We start from the raw sequence: 17,656 nt of genomic DNA on the forward strand, positions 1-17,656 counted from the left end.
CTTTAGGAAATAGAGCAGCAGGTGGAGACATTTGGTCCCCACAGCAATAGTTTTAGAAGATAATTCTATCTTAAAATGGACAATCTGGATCCCATGTCTGAATATACAGACATGAGTGTATTCAAGTTCATTAGAACGACAGATACTGTGACAGTATGTGTGTAGCCACTCTGGTTGAACCCACAACTTTCTCTTCTGGCCTTGCTAGAACAGATGAAGTGGCTCTGCTGTGCCTGTCGCATCACCTTTGCATATATGAGAAGACCAATGCTCTTTGGAAATAGTATCACAACCAGTGTATTTCCTGGGAAGAATGATTTTTCAACAGACTCATTCACCTTGAGAGGTGAGAGGCGGAGTAGATAAGTGTGATGCTGAGGCCAGTATTGATTCTGTGTTGGCCTTAACTGAGTAGCTTGTTCACCAGATCCCTTGGGTACTACGTCATGGGAGGTTCCTGAGCAACCATATTCACGTCTCAGAACCTTGATTATCACAGAAACAGCTCCTTAGATGCCGTCTGTTACTCAGAAGTTAAAATTTCTAGGCCTGAATTTAGAACAACTAATTGTTATCCCCACGGAGAGGTTAGGAGAACACAAGAGTGTTCTTTTTTGTTTCCCCATAAAATAGATTGCTTTGAGAATTGATGAAACATTGTTTCAAAATAACTTGTAGTCCTTAGATGAAATATGAATATTACATTTAAAATATCATTCCTCTGAGTCATGGGAATATTTCTATTTTCTGTTCAGGCATACGTTCCTAAAGTCAATATGATACCAGAGACAAAACAAGCAATAATGCCAAGTTAAATCTCAAATACTCAGACAGTCTCAAGTAGAATTATGTTAAACAAAAAGACTCACTGTACTGGATTAAAACTAGCAAATGCTACTGAAGTTACAACAATTATTTAGGATAGCATTTCTTAATCTTTTATCATTATTACCTCCCAAGGAGCTTTTTTGAATATTGTTTTCCTATTTGTCCTCCTCCTCCATGAAATTTTAATACTACAGATATATTGTATAACTGTTTATATATCTGTGCTTTACATGTGAAAAGAAAACATTTTTTGTTTGGTGTCTGAAGAACTAATTTTTGTTTTTTTGCCATTGATAATGTATGATGTACAGCTAATTAGGACATTGCTGGTTATACTTGGTGTTGGACAGGTAATAAGAATGAACTGAAAGATGACTCTGGTGGTAATAAAATGCCACCAATGTAACAATTTTTATGGTATAAGACTGTCTTAGTCTGTTTGGGGCTGCTATAACAAAATACCATAACCTGGGTAGTATATAAACAACAGAAATGTATTTCTCAAAGTTTTGGAGACTTAGAAGTCCAAGATCAATGTGCTAGTAGATTTGGTGTTTGGTGAGGGCTCCTTTCTTGATTCATAAATGGAGTTTTCTCATTGTGTCTTCACATGGTGGAAGGGAAAACAAGATCCCTTGTGCCTCTTTAACAAGGGTACTAATCTCATTCATGGGGACTCTGCCCTCACAACCTAATCGCCTCCCAAAGTCCTCACTTCTTAATGCCATCATCTTGAAGGTTAGGATTTCAACATATGAATTTGGAGAGACACAAACATTTGGATCACAGCAAAGAAAAACTGGTTAAACTTTATTTAAGTCACCTATCTTTCTATCCCTCCATTCATCCATCCATGCATTCATCTAACAAAGATGTATTGTGCATCAGTGGTGCTACCTGTAACTTCCTAGGGCCATTTCAGAGTTTAGACTTTCCTCATCTCTCCTGGAGAGATGTTGCCACAGTCTTGTGCCTATGTTCCTTTTTTGTGTGTGTTATCTACACCACAGTCAGGACAATGTTTCTCAAATTAATTTGAGCATTATTATTCCTCTTCATGAACAACTACAAATTCATCTCTCACCTGCAAGATATACCCAACTCTTCAGCAGTGTGTATGAGTTTTTCCTATCTCCCCATATCAGCTACCATCTCCTCCTCAACCTCATTTATTGCTACTTCCTGTTCATTTGTTCTCCAGTGATACTGAAATGCTTGTATTTTCCCCAAAACATGCTCTGCAGTTTCATGCTTATGTATTTTTTTCAGGCCTGTCTTCTTCCAATACCCTTCTTGGCCAATTGCTCCCTACCATTTAAGATTTGGCCTGGGCATTATCTCAACCCCTCCCATCCAAATCTGAGTGAAGATCCTTTTTCTTTATGTTTTATGCCTCTTAAGCATAGTTCTGTGAGTGTACATAGCACATAACATTGATTATCCATTTCCATGCCAATTTTTACCAGTACCTGCCCATTAAAATATCATATTGTATTCATTAATACATCCCCTGTACCTACCACTCCCTAGGATCCAAAGGGAAAACAACACATTCATTGAACTCCAATTTCCTGGGCTCAGGTGGCTCAAAGTTTAAGAAGCAAAATAGACGTAAACCCACCATGACAATATGATATGGTACAATAGAAGTGGGCATAGGATTCTATGGGAGCACAGTAGATAAAATCATTCATTTTACTTGGGAGAAACTAAGGAGGAATTTAAGGACCATTTCACAAAACAGGGGCTATTTGAACTTGGTCATGCCTAGGCCCTCTTAAGATAAAGAGAAAGGGGTTCCAAAGAAGGTGAAGGAAGGTATCATAAGAAAAGGGAACAGCACATGCAAAAGCATGTGGGCATGAAAGAGATGATGCAACTAGAGGGGACATGGGGACTAGAGAGCAGGGGCCCTGGAGGTGTGGGGGAATTGACTGCAGTTGAGAAGAAGCAGAAAAGGTGTTTGGCCAGGTCGTTAAGGACTTCCTTTGACATGCTGTGGAGTCTAAGCTTGACTTTATATGCAAATAAAGGTTTGTCCAATTAAAGAAATTTTTAAAAAATTTTCTCCTGCAAAGAATTTGATATTAATTCCATCCAAAGGCTCCTGAGACATTCAAACTTGTATTTTCTTCACCTATAAATAAAGAGCTCACTGTCTTCCTTTGAAACTTCTCAGATTGCTGTGAGAGTCTAAAAAAGCTTTAATTCATTCATATTACCCCTACCTTTCTTTATAGCCAAGATGTTACTAGTGGAAATTTTAATATTATCCACAAGTATCATGAAGGAAAATATTTCTAAGTGAGTTATGTAATCTGAAGAGATAATTAAATTCCCTTTGAATTTGTATATTAACATTTTAACATCTATTTATAGAATGGTCTACTTTAGTATAGAAGGATGTGATTATATAGTTACTGTGATGTTAAAAATGTCCCCCACCATTCTTTAATCTTTCTTTTCATTAGATGTTGGATTTTTTCTTTTTTAGAGACAGTGTCTCACTCTATCACCCATGCTGCAGTGCAGTGGCATAGTCATAGCTCACTGTAACCTCGAACTCCCGGACTCAAGCGATCCTCCTGCTTCAGCCTCCCAAAGCGCTGGGATTACAGGCCTGAGCCACTGTGCTTGGCAGATGCTGGATTTATAGTGTGGATTAGACTCTGATGGCTTGCAAGACCTCAGTGACTACCAGGAGAATCATTTCAAGATAAATGAAATTAAAAAAAAAATTTCATAGCACTACTGTCAGTTCTAGAGCAAGACTGTTTCTATTCAGGTTTAAGCTCCATTTATTATGAGCAAGTTGGTCATCACTCTAAGCCTCAGTTTTACCATCTATAAAGTGGGCATAATAATGAGGATTAAATTAGTTAGTACATGTAGAATGATGAGAAGAGTGCTTGTCTCTCTGTAGTGGTGTCACATTCAATAATCACTGAGTGACAGCCTGTCAATTCACTGCTTCAGTAGGGGATTCTGAGAGCTGGGGATTAACACCTGGGCATAATACAGTTGTGATATAAAAATGAGTCTGCAGGATTTCTTTCCAACTTTCACAATTCCAAAGACAGAAAAGAGGGGGATAATAACGTCCTGGTGCTGTCATACAAGACTGGTGATGAGGCATTTGGGGAAGTATTCTTGGAATGGCTTTGTTTCCTGGGCACGTAATTGTGGCACATGTCCGAGTATCCTTTTCCCACTGCAGCATCTAAAGTAAGTTGGTACAACAGCAGGTCCCAAATTTGGCATGTGAGGTCTCAAAGCCCCTCTGGAATGTGAAGCTCTTCTGTGGAAAGGCATCTTCAAACTGATTACAGGATTCTTAGAAGAGAAACAGGGAAGCCTACAGGAATCAGAAAACCTCCCTCCTTCAAAGAAGCCACAAGAATGAAGAGATGTGAGAACCAGAGGTCGTCTTCTCATATGCTGACATTAAGAACTGGTTTTAAAAAGATTTAAAGAAAAAGATTTAAGAGTTGGAAATGCTGAGGAGTTCTTTTGCAGGTCATACTATTGAGTTCAGTAACCTGCAATGTGCTGACCTTGACTTGTTATTTCATGTCAATCTCCTGCTTAGAATGTTTCAATTACCTCTCAGTGCTTTTAGAACAAAGGTAAAAATGCTTAACTGGCCTACAGGGCCCTGAACAATGGCCACTAGAGGTTTCTTCAGTTTCATCTCTTGTCATTCTTCCCATCAGTGAATGCTAGCCCCGTTATCAGTCTTGCTCATCTTGACCAGCCTAATTTTCCCCAGGGAAACTTCTGGTTTGTTGTTGTTGTTGTTCTTATTTGTTTTGTTTTGTTTTTCCAAAGATGCTTTATCTTCCCTGCCCCGTCACTTGGTGTTAAAAGAGAAATTTCAGTTCTGGTCCTGACTAGAGTAACGTACTTTCATCTTTCAGGTGAAAGTTTAAATGTCACTTCTTCGAAACACTAGTCAGAATTGTAATCGTATTTATGCGTTTGATCAATGTCTGTCTCCCCAACTAGACTGTAAGCTCTTTGAGGGCTGTTTTCCTACTGTTGTAGCCTGGGTGCTTAGCACAGTGCATGGCACAGGCTAAGGACTCAGTAAATATTTGCTGAATAAATGAACAGGCTTTTTGTTTAGAAACAAAGTTTACTTTTAGAACAGAAGTATATGCAGTAACATAATTCATAAAAATGCTACTCAGTATTCCTCATGTGGCTACTGCCACAGATTTTAGTTTGTGGACTCACTGCTTTTTTGCTGAATAAAAGTAATTTTTTACAAAAAATATTGACTTGAAGAATTTTAACTTTTACAAATTTTCAAATTGACCAGTCAATTTGAAAGGTGCCTTTCCTTGTGTTGTACATATAGTGTCAGGAGGTTCTGTGCTAATGATAATGAAAGCAGTAATCATCATCATCATCTTTATAAGAGTAAAGTTTATTAGAATTAATTTTTTTATATAATCAGATGTATTTAATCTATTTTATTATATATTAATTATTAATTATAATTATAGTTGATTATCATTTTATTAATTAGAATTAAGTTTATTAGAAATGTATTATAAATCCATGTCAAATTCTTTTTTAAGTATATGTATTTGTGTATATATAATACCTTTATAACAATTGTATTTCATATATGCTACTTCTCTAACACCTCTAAACTTATATTTTACAGTTATGGGCGAACAATTGTGGATAATAAAAAATTTGTGTCTTTTAATGAATTTGTTTTGAATGCATTTAATTTTCAATGAAGTGTATCTTTTATTGAATGAAATAAATTTCCAAAATCAATTCATTAATTTTTACAGAACTCTCTGATGCACTGGGGGATAAAGATTATTATAAAAATGTCAATGATAGACCGCTAGCAAGACTAATAAAGAAAAAAAGAGAGAAGAATCAAATAGACGCAATAAAAAATGATAAAGGGGATATCAACACCGATCCCACAGAAATACAAACTACCATCAGAGAACACTACAAACACCTCTACGCAAATAAACTAGAAAATCAAGAAGAAATGGATAAATTCCTCGACACATACGCCCTCCCAAGACTAAACCAGGAAGAGGTTGAATCTCTGAATAGAACAATAACAGGATCTGAAATTGTGGCAATAATCAATAGCTTACCAACCAAAAAGAGTCCAGGACCAGATGGATTCACAGCCGAATTCTACCAGAGGTACAAGGAGGAACTGGTACCATTCCTTCTGAAACTATTCCAATCAATAGAAAAAAAGGAATCCTCCCTAACTCATTTTATGAGGCCAGCATCATCCTGATACCAAAGCTGGGCCGAAACACAACCAAAAAAGACAATTTTAGACCAATATCCTTGATGAACATTGATGCAAAAATCCTCAATAAAATACTGGCAAACCGAATCCAGCAGCACATCAAAAAGCTTATCCACCATGATGAAGTGGGCTTCATCCCTGGGATGCAAGGCTGGTTCAATATATGCAAATCAATAAATGTAATCCAGCATATAAACAGAGCCAAAGACAAAAACCACATGATTATCTCAATAGATGCAGAAAAGACCTTTGACAAAATTCAACAACCCTTCATGCTAAAAACTCTCAATAAATTAGGTATTGATGGGATGTATCTCAAAATAATAAGAGCTATCTATGACAAAGCCACAGCCAATATCATACTGAATGGGCAAAAACTGGAAGCATTCCCTTTGAAAACTGGCACAAGACAGGGATGCCCTCTCTCACCACTCCTATTCAACATAGTGTTGGAAGTTCTGGCCAGGGCAATTAGGCAGGAGAAGGAAATCAAGGGTATTCGATTAGGAAAAGAGGAAGCCAAATTGTCCCTGTTTGCAGATGACATGATTGTATATCTAGAAAACCCCATTGTCTCAGCCCAAAATCTCCTTAAGCTGATAAGCAACTTCAGCAAAGTCTCAGGATACAAAATCAATGTACAAAAATCACAAGCATTCTTATACACCAATAACAAACAGAGAGCCAAATCATGAGTGAACTCCCATTCACAATTGCTTCAAAGAGAATAAAATACCTAGGAATCCAACTTACAAGGGAAGTGAAGGACCTCTTCAAGGAGAACTACAAACCACTGCTCAAGGAAATAAAAGAGGATACAAAGAAATGGAAGAATATTCCATGCTTATGGGTAAGGAGAGTCAATATCGTGAAAATGGCCATACTGCCCAAGGTAATTTGTAGATTCAAGGCCATCCCCATCAAGCTACCAATGACTTTCTTCACAGAATTGGGAAAAACTACTTTAAAGTTCATATGGAACCAAAAAAGAGCCCGCATCCCCAAGTCAATCCTAAGCCAAAAGAACAAAGCTGGAGGCATCACGCTACCTGACTTCAAACTATACTACAAGGCTACAGTAACCAAAACAGCATGGTACTGGTACCAAAACAGAGATATAGACCAATGGAACAGAACAGAGTCCTCAGAAATAATGCCACATATCTACAACTATCTGATCTTTGACAAACCTGAGAAAAAAAAGCAATGGGGAAAGGATTCCCTATTTAATAAATGATGCTGGGAAAACTGGCTAGCCATATGTAGAAAGCTGAAACTGGATCCCTTCCTTACACCTGATACAAAAATTAATTCAAGATGGATTAAAGACTTAAACGTTAGACCTAAAACCTTAAAAACCCTAGAAGAAAACCTAGACATTACCATTCAGGACATAGGCATGAGCAAGGACTTCATGTCTAAAACACGAAAAGCAATGGCAACAAAAGCCAAAATTGACAAATGGGATCTAATTCAACTAAAGAGCTTCTGCACAGCAAAAGAAACTACCATCAGAGTGAACAGGCAACCTACAAAATGGGAGAAAATTTTCACAACCTACTCATCTGACAAAGGGCTAATAACCAGAATCTACAATGAACTCCAACAAATTTACAAGAAAAAAACAAACAACCCCATCAAAAAGTGGGCAAAGGACATGAACAGATACTTCTCAAAAGAAGACATTTATGCAGCCAAAAAACACATGAAAAAATGCTCACCATCACTGGCCATCAGAGAAATGCAAATCAAAACCACAATGAGATACCATCTCACACCAGCTAGAATGGCAATCATTAAAAAGTCAGGAAACAACAGGTGCTGGAGAGGATGTGGAGAAATAGGAACACTTTTACACTGTTGGTGGGACTGTAAACTAGTTCACCCCTTGTGAAAGTCAGTGTGGTGATTCCTCAGGGATCTAGAACTAGAAATACCATTTGACCCAGCCATCCCATTACTGAGTATATACCCAAAGGACTATAAATCATGCTGCTATAAAGACACATGCACACATATGTTTATTGCGGCACTATTCACAATAGCAAAGACTTGGAACCAACCCAAATGTCCAACAATGATAGACTGGATTAAGAAAATGTGGCACATATACGCCATGGAATACTATACAGCCATAAAAAATGATGAGTTCATGTCCTTTGTAGGGACATGGATGAAATTGGAAATCATCATTCTCAGTAAACTATCGCAAGAACAAAAAACCAAGCACCGCATATTCTCACTCATAGGTGGGAACTGAACAGTGTGAACACATGGACACAGGAAGGGGAACATCACACTCTGGGGACTGTTGTGGGGTGGGAGGAAGAGGGAGGGATAGCTTTAGGAGATATACCTAATGCTAAATGACGAGTTAACGGGTGCAGCACACCAGCATGGCACATGTATACATTTGTAACTAACCTGCACATTGTGCACATGTACCCTAGAACTTAAAGTATAATAATAATAAAATAATATAAAATAAAAGACAAAAACAAACAAACAAACAAACAAACAAAAACGTCAATGGCTTGTGACTGCCCGTCCCAACCCAGCCTAAGAAATGAAGGCTTCATTGATCTGCAAAGTTTAAAATAATGATCATGGATCTTTCTTCCTTTGAGCAACTGAGCCCCCACAGACCAACTAATTAAAGTCAACTGTGACAGATTTTCAAATGTGTTTTCTTGTCAGTCTTGTCATTTTTGAAAGTTTAGAAATTTCACTTGAAAATGTAAAGAAGAGAATGACAACATGAAAAGAAACTCTTGCCCAGAAGGTTAGTATTTCATACACTGAAGCATTCAGTGGTAAAAGGCAGGGTCTTTGCATCTATAGGTTAAAACAATGGTGAGGGGTTCAAAATAACCTCAGGTAGACAAATGTGTGTCATAAATCATAGCATCTGTAAACACAAGGCTTATGGTTTTTGCTAAATTCATCTCTGTGTAGGAAGCAGCATATCTGATTTATGTCTGATGAAAACAGTTCATTTAAAAAATATTTTTCCCCTAAAATTACACTCAGAGAAATAATTAAGTCATATGAATTATCTGAAAAACAATACTCTAGCAAGCAAGTCTTGAGCTTTTAGGTGACCTGGGATTTCCTGAATAGGGCTAAAGTCCTCCTAAGTCTTACTATGTCCTTCATTATGTATTTTCAGAACTAATTTATTATAACTATTTAGGTGTAAAACAGAAAGTAATTAAAGGCACAGCTAAAGAAAACATTAATCTGAATTTTCCCCTTGTTGCTGCAAAAGGAAAAAAATCCCCTCACCTTGACTTTCCCAGATTCTCTGCCCAAATCAAATTCAAACCCCATTTATAGCTTGATAAAGACATCCGTTTGACAAATATTTATAAAGCAACCCTTATTTGCTAAATATTATTCTGTGTGCTGAGGACACAATGGTGATCAGAAACAAGCACAGCCTTTGCTGAGAGATTTATTTTTAAAACCAACAAACAAAAACAATCACATCAACTGAATTGATGTTAAAAATTTGAGTTTTGGTCCTGACTAGAGTAGAGTAATGTACTTTATTTATAATCTTACATAAATTATGCAAACCTTCTGAGTCTCAATTTTCTCCATTTGTAAGATTAGCAATGATAATACTTTGGGGTTACTACAAGGATCACAGTCATGCCACACCACCTCACTGCCAACACATACCCAGGTGACAATATCTTTGATACTATTACTCAAATGTACTCCAGGGTCATTCAAAACTACTCAGCCACAGCCTTGGGTACAGTCATATTTTGGGAGATGCAGGATTTGCATAGAAGAGCTGCTGTTGCACCAAAAATATTGGGCACAGGAACTGACCAAGCCTCACCCTCATCCTAACGACACTGGATGTTTTCAGTTTTCCAAGTGGAAAATTCCAAGCCCTCAGAAGTACATGGGACATATCTCATCTTATTTACATGCCAAGAAGGTTGTTAGTTTAGTTTAGCTTTTGTTTTGTTTAACAAAAAGTAATGCAGACAAATCAAAGCAAAATATGCCATCCGTTTCCTTTGATAATGGCAACAGCAGCCCTTATTTTTGTTGTGGCAAGGAAAACCATTAAAAATCCATTTTCAATTAAAATAAGTTCATATAAACTACAAGAAAAAATGGTGTTTAAGAGTTCATAAAATGCACTCTGTCCTCAGGCTCATCGTTTGCTCCAAGTCAGGGTTTCAAAATGAGTCACAAACCCTGCCAGGAGACAGAATGTGAGCACAGCCAGCCCTTGATGGGGGCCTCCTGGCGTGCAGGGACTATTTTGTCTTCTAGTTTTCCAGGGGAATGAAAGAATAAAGAAAGCTTTGCAATTTTTAAACAAAGAGACCCTTCTGTATGTTAATAAGATTTCGATTGCCAGGAAACAGACAATGGGTTTTCTTTCAAGGGCAGAACTCTTCTGTGTGGGATCACATGTTCTCACTTCACAGTTTCTTCCTCGGCACAAGTAGCCCCTCACTCAGTGCAAATGCACGGGGAATTTGGGTACTCAAAGCTCAAAAGCAATTTACCTTCCTCAAAGCAGACAGTTTCTATCGCTAGCACTGTCCTTCCTTTCCCTTCTTTGGAAAAATTTCCATTTGATAAGAAAGAGCTGTGATGAAAGGAAGTTTTACATTTCTGATTTTGCTTGGAGCAAATATCTCAAGGACTATCTAGGTTTATCCTTTGGCTCTCAGTAGTTAGATCCACTTAAGAGTTCTGGATCTAGTACTATTAGAGGCAGTAATGTTGAAACCCACAACACAAATCAATTACCCTTAATCCATAGTCACATGAGTTAACAAAAATGCTACTTCACTGTTGGCAGGATCGTTTTATTAATCCAGGTTTAGTATTGACTACCTACTGCTGATTGGAAGTTCTAGCGTATTCTGTGTGTCTTTAATTTTAGCAATGGGAAAATAAAGTATTACTTTAAAAATATGCATTTATTAAGAAGAGAAGGGCTTTGTGGAGAGAAATAGGGAAATAGGTCCTTGATGGTGAGATCCTGGAAACTGCTGGTCTCCATGGCATTCATACATTTGCTCATACTGTCAACAAGTGTTTATTGAGTACCCATCATGTGGCATTTGTTGGGGTGGATACAGGGATGAATCAGATATGGTCCCTGACTTGACTATGGGACTAGTTCCAGAATTACTTGAAATCCTACAGACAGAAATTGCTGAATTGCTCTGAATAGCCTTGCATGGAAACATAGGAAAAGGAGATGTCCATAAAGCCTCCTTTGGCTTCATGAACTAGCTGTTTGTCTCTTTATTGGCACACATTCCAATTCTAAAGGAAATGTTCCGTGGACTCTCACAAATTCATGAGGCTAAATAAAAACTACTCCCCAAGGACTCATAAGTAAGTGAGTATTTATCGACTTTTAATGGACTCCCTCCAATCGATTCAGGAAGATCAAGAGCTTTGGAATCAGACAGAGTCATATTTGAGTTATAATAACATGTGGCCTTTGGAAGGTTATTTAACTTCCCCAATTCTCATCTTCCTCGTTGTATAATGACAATAATAATGGTACTACTTCATAGTGTTTTTGTAACAATAAAATGAAACAATACATTATAGATAGGTGGTATGGCATAGAGGATAAGAGTGAAGACTTTGGAGCAGAGTGTCTGAATTCAAATCCTGGGTAAGTCACTTATGTAAGAGAATAATAAAAGTGAATAGTAAATTAAATGAAATAAAGCATATAAAATTTCGTAAAATACCCAAGAGATAAGAACTCAATGCAGGTTAATTGTTACTCCATTATTAGTGTTAATGCTTCAAGTGCTTAGAACATAGACAGTAAATACATGTAGTTACTTTCATTTTTTCTAGTTCTGAGTGACTTCAAGGCAGGTGACTGAACTCTATTCATTCAGGTATGTAGTGAATGCTTGTGATGAGCCTCCCAGAGCTTCCCTTCCAGATGGAGAGTGCTCATTCTTCTAGCTTCTGAAAGTGTTGTTGGCTGTCAATTCCCAACTAAGTTTCTGTCTGAGAATTGCCCTCGGCAAAAGAAAGCCACCTCACTCAATGCCACACATGCTCTTTGGAATAACTTGCATGCAATGATTGATGTCTGGGGAGGGGTGGGAGGAGAAATCTGAAGATCCCCCACAGCTCCTGCAGTCTTGGCTGAGGCCTTTGTTCTGACTGCATCACAGTCCAATTTCTTCCTCTACATAGTTCTGTTTCCTGTACTCTCCCATAGGTGTTGATCCCAAGAGAATTCGAGAGTAAACCTTCTGCACACAAATCTTGGTGTCTTAGAGTCTGCTTTCTGGGAAACCCAACCTACAAGTGTAATCTAGATGGCAGGAAATTCTGCGATCATAAAATTTGTCCTTTAGCCAGAGTAAGAATTACGAGTGGCCTCTGACAAACTTAATAAGGGAGAAAAATTACAACTACATTTTCATTTCCAAAATGCCACCAGGGTAGGTTTTCAGCTGCTTTAAGTGTGTTTTGTGGTGGTCAACCAAAAGAAATTGCATTTATGCTTAGGCAGTGTACCGTACATACCCACGTGGGTACCTCTACTTCCTCTGGCAAAGGTGAAAGGCCACCAGAACTAAATGACTTATTGTCAGTGACCACAGAGTCTTAACCTCAGCCAGGATTTCTCTCTGGATACCATGAAGCTATGAATAATATATAAAAGGCTCAGAAAATCTAAAGCTACCTCTCAGAAAACATTTGTCATGGGCACTTAATGGGAGACTTTTCCAGTCCAAACTGCCCAGCAGAAGCTGGAGGATATTGATTACATCATCAGGACTTTTTGTGTACAGTACTCTGTTCAGCTTCATGTCCCCAGTGCATCCTTTCCAAGATAAGAGTGATTATAGCATCCAAATTTGAGTTTGATTTTGTTTTTTAAAAGCCAAATTCAGAAATTTCACTTTCTTTAGAGAAAATGCTAACAGGCAGAAGGAATGAATATAAGTGGAATTTAATTTGACCATAACATCCCAGGTGCTAATATGTCAATGTGTCTTTGGACACTTGCAATCATGCATAATTATCAGAGGTGATTTCTTTGTTTTTTTCCCCTTTAATCAGTGACAACTGCAGGTGCAAAGGATAGAGAAATATGTCATCTGTTCTGTAAGAAAATAATATTCATTAAGTTGTTAATTCTATAATTTCCTCCTGACAGTGACCTTATGAAGTCAGAATCTTTTAACAGTACCATCAGGGAGAGAAATTTTAAGTCAATTAGTCTGAGTTAGAAGAGTATTTCCCATGATGTCATCTCTTCATTATATCTTTGGGAAATCATATTACCTGACACTTTTCTAAATTGTTTGACCATGTTAACATTTTTAAGCAAATTCCTAGGAACTTAATAATGTACAATAAATATTGTCAAGCCATAGAGGTGCCACATATGTGTCTTAATTTGTAATACATTCTCCCTCTTCCTTGTATATTTCCTCCTTGCCATGTTTAGAAAAGTCTCAGAGAATATCGGGTCTGAAAATGTCTTTAAGACATTATAAAGTAGTCATATTCTCTACAAAAAATGTTTCCTGAATTAAATTCCATGGAACAATGCTTCATGAGAGATTAAAGATGTGCCTAAAACAAAAGGTTTTCTTGGCCACATAAGTGTAGGGAATGTTGAAGCCTCTTTGATGTTCACAATACACATAATAGCATATGGAGACCATTATCATATTAAGAACATTGAAATGTCCTGAAGTTAAGGATTTATTTCCCTTTTTTTAAGTTGGGAAACAAATTTATTTGACCTGAGAATAGCCCTGCTACTACCGCCCCTACTAACATGCGTGCATGCATGTGCACACACACACAAATCACCAATGACATCTAGTGGACTTGGTGTTCTACAGAACACTGTTGAAAATATTGCAGTTTCTTTTCAAGGGGCTCAACTTGAGCATCCTTTTCCAGGGGCTCAACTCTAACATATGTTTTAGGGGCTTGGAATTCTCATAGCCTCCCTCCTACTATTACAAGTTTCTTTCTGACCACCCACTAGATCTACTTAGGTTAATGTAAAACAAGTCTATTCCTCTTCAACGTGATATTCCTTTAAATATTTGAAAATAATTGATATTCACATAACCACACCATCTGTATCTTCCCTTATTCTTCTTAAATACCCCCATTTACTTTCCTTAGATTTTTCAGCTTGGAGCCCTCTTATTGTCTTTGTCACTCTTTTCTGTGTGCTCCACTTTGTCTATACTTCCTCTAAAAGGGGTAACCGGAAAATAATGCAATGTTCTCACTTGGGTGTGAAGTGTAACAGAGTATTTCCGCCCTCATTCTGGTTCTTTTATTATGGCCAAAGATTATTTTGGCTATTTTTTCGTTAATGTTTCCCAGTAATTTCATGATCATCTTTTTCCTGGAATTCCTTCATGGCTTCTTCTGCAGTGAGTGGCAGGTATTAGGCAGTATTAGAGGAAGGGGTAGGGAGGAAGCTGCTCTATCTCTGGAAGAGTCAACAGTAGTTTGCTAGCATATATATTCTTCTCCCTCTTTAGCTCAGAGAATCTCCTCTCTGCTTCCAAAGAAGATATAAAGCATGCAGGAGCTGAGATCCCACCAGAACTGCAAGAAAAGTCCTCAAGAGTGATCCAAGGGTAGATAGTGGTCAGAAACTAAGGAATGGGAGCAGAGGAGAAACACGAAAATTTGGATATTCTAGGAGGTAGCTCCAGCTGGTAGTATCAATGGTGCTGCCAGGGGATAATAGCCATCTGAGTAAGTCTCTTCTGGCTGGCTTTAGAGTGAATATGTCAATGGATACAGAGAAATCATACTATTTTTTTTTTTCAAAAATTGGAATCACTGACGTATGTGAATAGTTGGTCATGTAAATTATCTGCCTGACTGACTGAGTCTGTACTTATCAAATACAGAAGCAGGGTTTCCAGGGTGACAAAATGACAGTAGTGTTGCCCTTCCTCAGGGCTTGTGCTCACTTTAGCTTTAAGTAAGTCATTGATTCACTAGCTATTGATTCTAATAGACATCATAGAATATGTCATATGGAAGAGAAGCATTATTAACAACTTGGTATGGTTGTATTCTAGGGAAGCATTTGAAAATGTCATCCTAAAAGAACCCTTGCTATACTTTTTATCTTAAATCTTCCTTCATATTAATCTATAATGCTATAAAAATGACCTTAAAAAGATGAATTAAAATGCTTCCTCATAATAGATCATATCCAGTGCTGGGTTATTTCAAGGGAGATTTGCAGGGATAGGTCTTTAAAAGTTACTTACAGGATTTATTCTAGATGGAACAAAAGGAAAGACACTCGCCATAGAGAGGGCCAGAGGAGCCTTCAGTCAGAAACATGGCGAGGTGTTGAAAATTCAGATAAATGGCTCTCTGTTTGTGTATGTGTTTCTGGAATCTCAGTTAACCTCTAAAGTTATATAGATTCACACCTACAATTGCATTAACTGCATGCCTTTGTATAGATGCTGCTCTCCTGGGTCCTTCTCTCAGCAGTGCCTCTTTTAGATAATCAGGAGCAGTTTTATTCAGGGAATGAGGTAACCAGCATTCACCAGTCTCTTTTTATCAGAGCATTTTTCTACACTGAATTTTGCAACTCACTGCACGTAGTGTCCCTAAAAACAGGTAACATGATACTGTGAAATGACTAATTAAATAGCTAATGTACTGAAATATCAAAATTATCCTAGAGGCAACAAAATATATTAGTTTCATCAATTAACTAAAAGTTGTAAAAATAAATGGAATGCCATGCGTTCTCAGTTTCTCTGCCCTAGACCAGAAGAACCATTTGAAAAATCCCATTATTCTTCACCACTCCACACTGGAAATTTTTCTTTCCACAGCTGGGGTTCAAATTTGGAAGACACCCAGCAAGGGGAGTTGGTGGTGAGCTAGACAATGACACTAGAGATGGCCATGGTCTCTGATGACTGCGTGCATCCGTTGCTCATCACCTTTACCAACACTGACCCCAGGGACAGGCCAAGGCAAGGAAAGAGTCTTCTCCAAAGCAGTTAAAGTCTCTCAGGCAGAACTGTTTAGAGGGATAGTGCTATTTTCAAGTGAAAGAATGAATAAATACTTTCTAACTTAAAGTTGCAGTCGGCAGGAAAGAACCTAAAGAATTTTGTTGCTAATTTTATTGGGAACTCATGTCCCACTGGAAGTCATTAAGTGGAAGTTATTTGAAAATATTTTTAATTGTGTGACCTTTTAGCTACTAATAATAGAATGTATTTTATAATAGGTCTTACTCCTGGCATTGAGTTACATTTTAGGAGATGAAAAAGTTTTGGTATTAAAAAAGTACAAATATTTGTTAATATCCCACCAAAGTAAGGTATTCTAAATAAATGTAAAAAATGTTGCTGACAAAATACTTACCAGTTTTGAAAGTTGCTCTATTTCTAATGACAAAAGTTTATAATGTTGATTTATTTTCTTAGCTACATTAAACCAGTATATCTAGTGGAATTCAGTGAAAAACCAAATAATACCATATATAGTTGACTGAAGAATTACAAATACTTGAGTCTAAACTGGGCTGTATCACTAATGGAGTATGTATGGAAGAGAGCACCATCAATATCGCATGTCTACACTGCCATGCTAATGTCCAGAGTGGACAGCTTCCTAGCTGACTCTGCGAAGTCATTCTTGAAACCAAGACTGTGACTCCACCTAAATCACGTCTACAAATCGCTGATCCTTTCTGTGCAACATGCAGCATGAAAATACATCATTCTACCTCATGATTACTAGGAAGCTTAGATATAATCACGACTATGAATACTCATGCAAATTTCAAAGTGCCATGCAAATTTCAAAGTGCCCTACAAATTTAAGTTGTTCCAAATAAATTAATGATTTTGGATTATGTAAATTGGAAATAGTCCTGTTCCTCAGCTGAACTTTTCACTTGTAAATGGATTGGGTTACCATTGGGTTTATAAGGTTTACCTGTTTGCAATATTACCTCTTGTAGCTATGAATCATTCCTCTACCTTATAAAAGGCCATAAAGGGTGGGTGGTGGATAAATAGGCAAGGCCATGGTAGAAAAAAAAAAGTTCTTATCACTTATTTTTACATCTCTTGGAATCTCCCCGTGTTGCTAATCTCAAATAACTTGAATCTAAAATGAAAGTTGTCATCTAGTTATTGTGTACCCATAGCTTATAAATTGTGATGCCATCATACTGCTTAGGTGCCAAACAACTCACCTGGATTACAAAGGAGCACATTCTTAGCCATGCTTTACCTCTCAAGATATGAGTCCACAGTAAGAAATTTCCACCATCTACAAGAAGGCTTTGTTCCAATAGTTGTAGAAAATGAGACTGGATCATACGGCTGTGATCTAGTGAGCTCCTGCCTACTCATCTTTCTATTTAGGGATAAATATGGGTAACTGGGAAAGGATTTGTTACTTTTGGAAATGAGCACAGGAGTATGCAGATGTGATTTTGAGGATACTGTGGCCTATAGGGTATCCATATAT

At 37.5% G+C, this 17,656-nt stretch overlaps 1 protein-coding gene across 2 annotated transcripts in view, besides 1 other annotated feature; it reads right to left on the reverse strand.

Moving 5' to 3' along the window:
* The window catches only part of PLCXD3 (phosphatidylinositol specific phospholipase C X domain containing 3), a 203,650-nt gene that overhangs the window by 17,551 nt on the left and 168,443 nt on the right, over positions 1 to 17,656 (reverse strand). The gene's annotated exons all lie outside the window — the stretch shown is intronic.
* Positions 10,272 to 10,321: a silencer, noted in NCBI's record as "silent region_15985". NCBI's record gives its function as "represses an Ori minimal core promoter by ATAC-STARR-seq in GM12878 lymphoblastoid cells {active_cell/tissue: GM12878}" and the evidence as "EXISTENCE:reporter gene assay evidence [ECO:0000049][PMID:35858748]".

The sequence above is a fragment of the Homo sapiens genome, chromosome 5 (genome assembly GCF_000001405.40).
Source record: "Homo sapiens chromosome 5, GRCh38.p14 Primary Assembly".
NCBI classification, from domain to species: domain Eukaryota; kingdom Metazoa; phylum Chordata; class Mammalia; order Primates; family Hominidae; genus Homo; species Homo sapiens.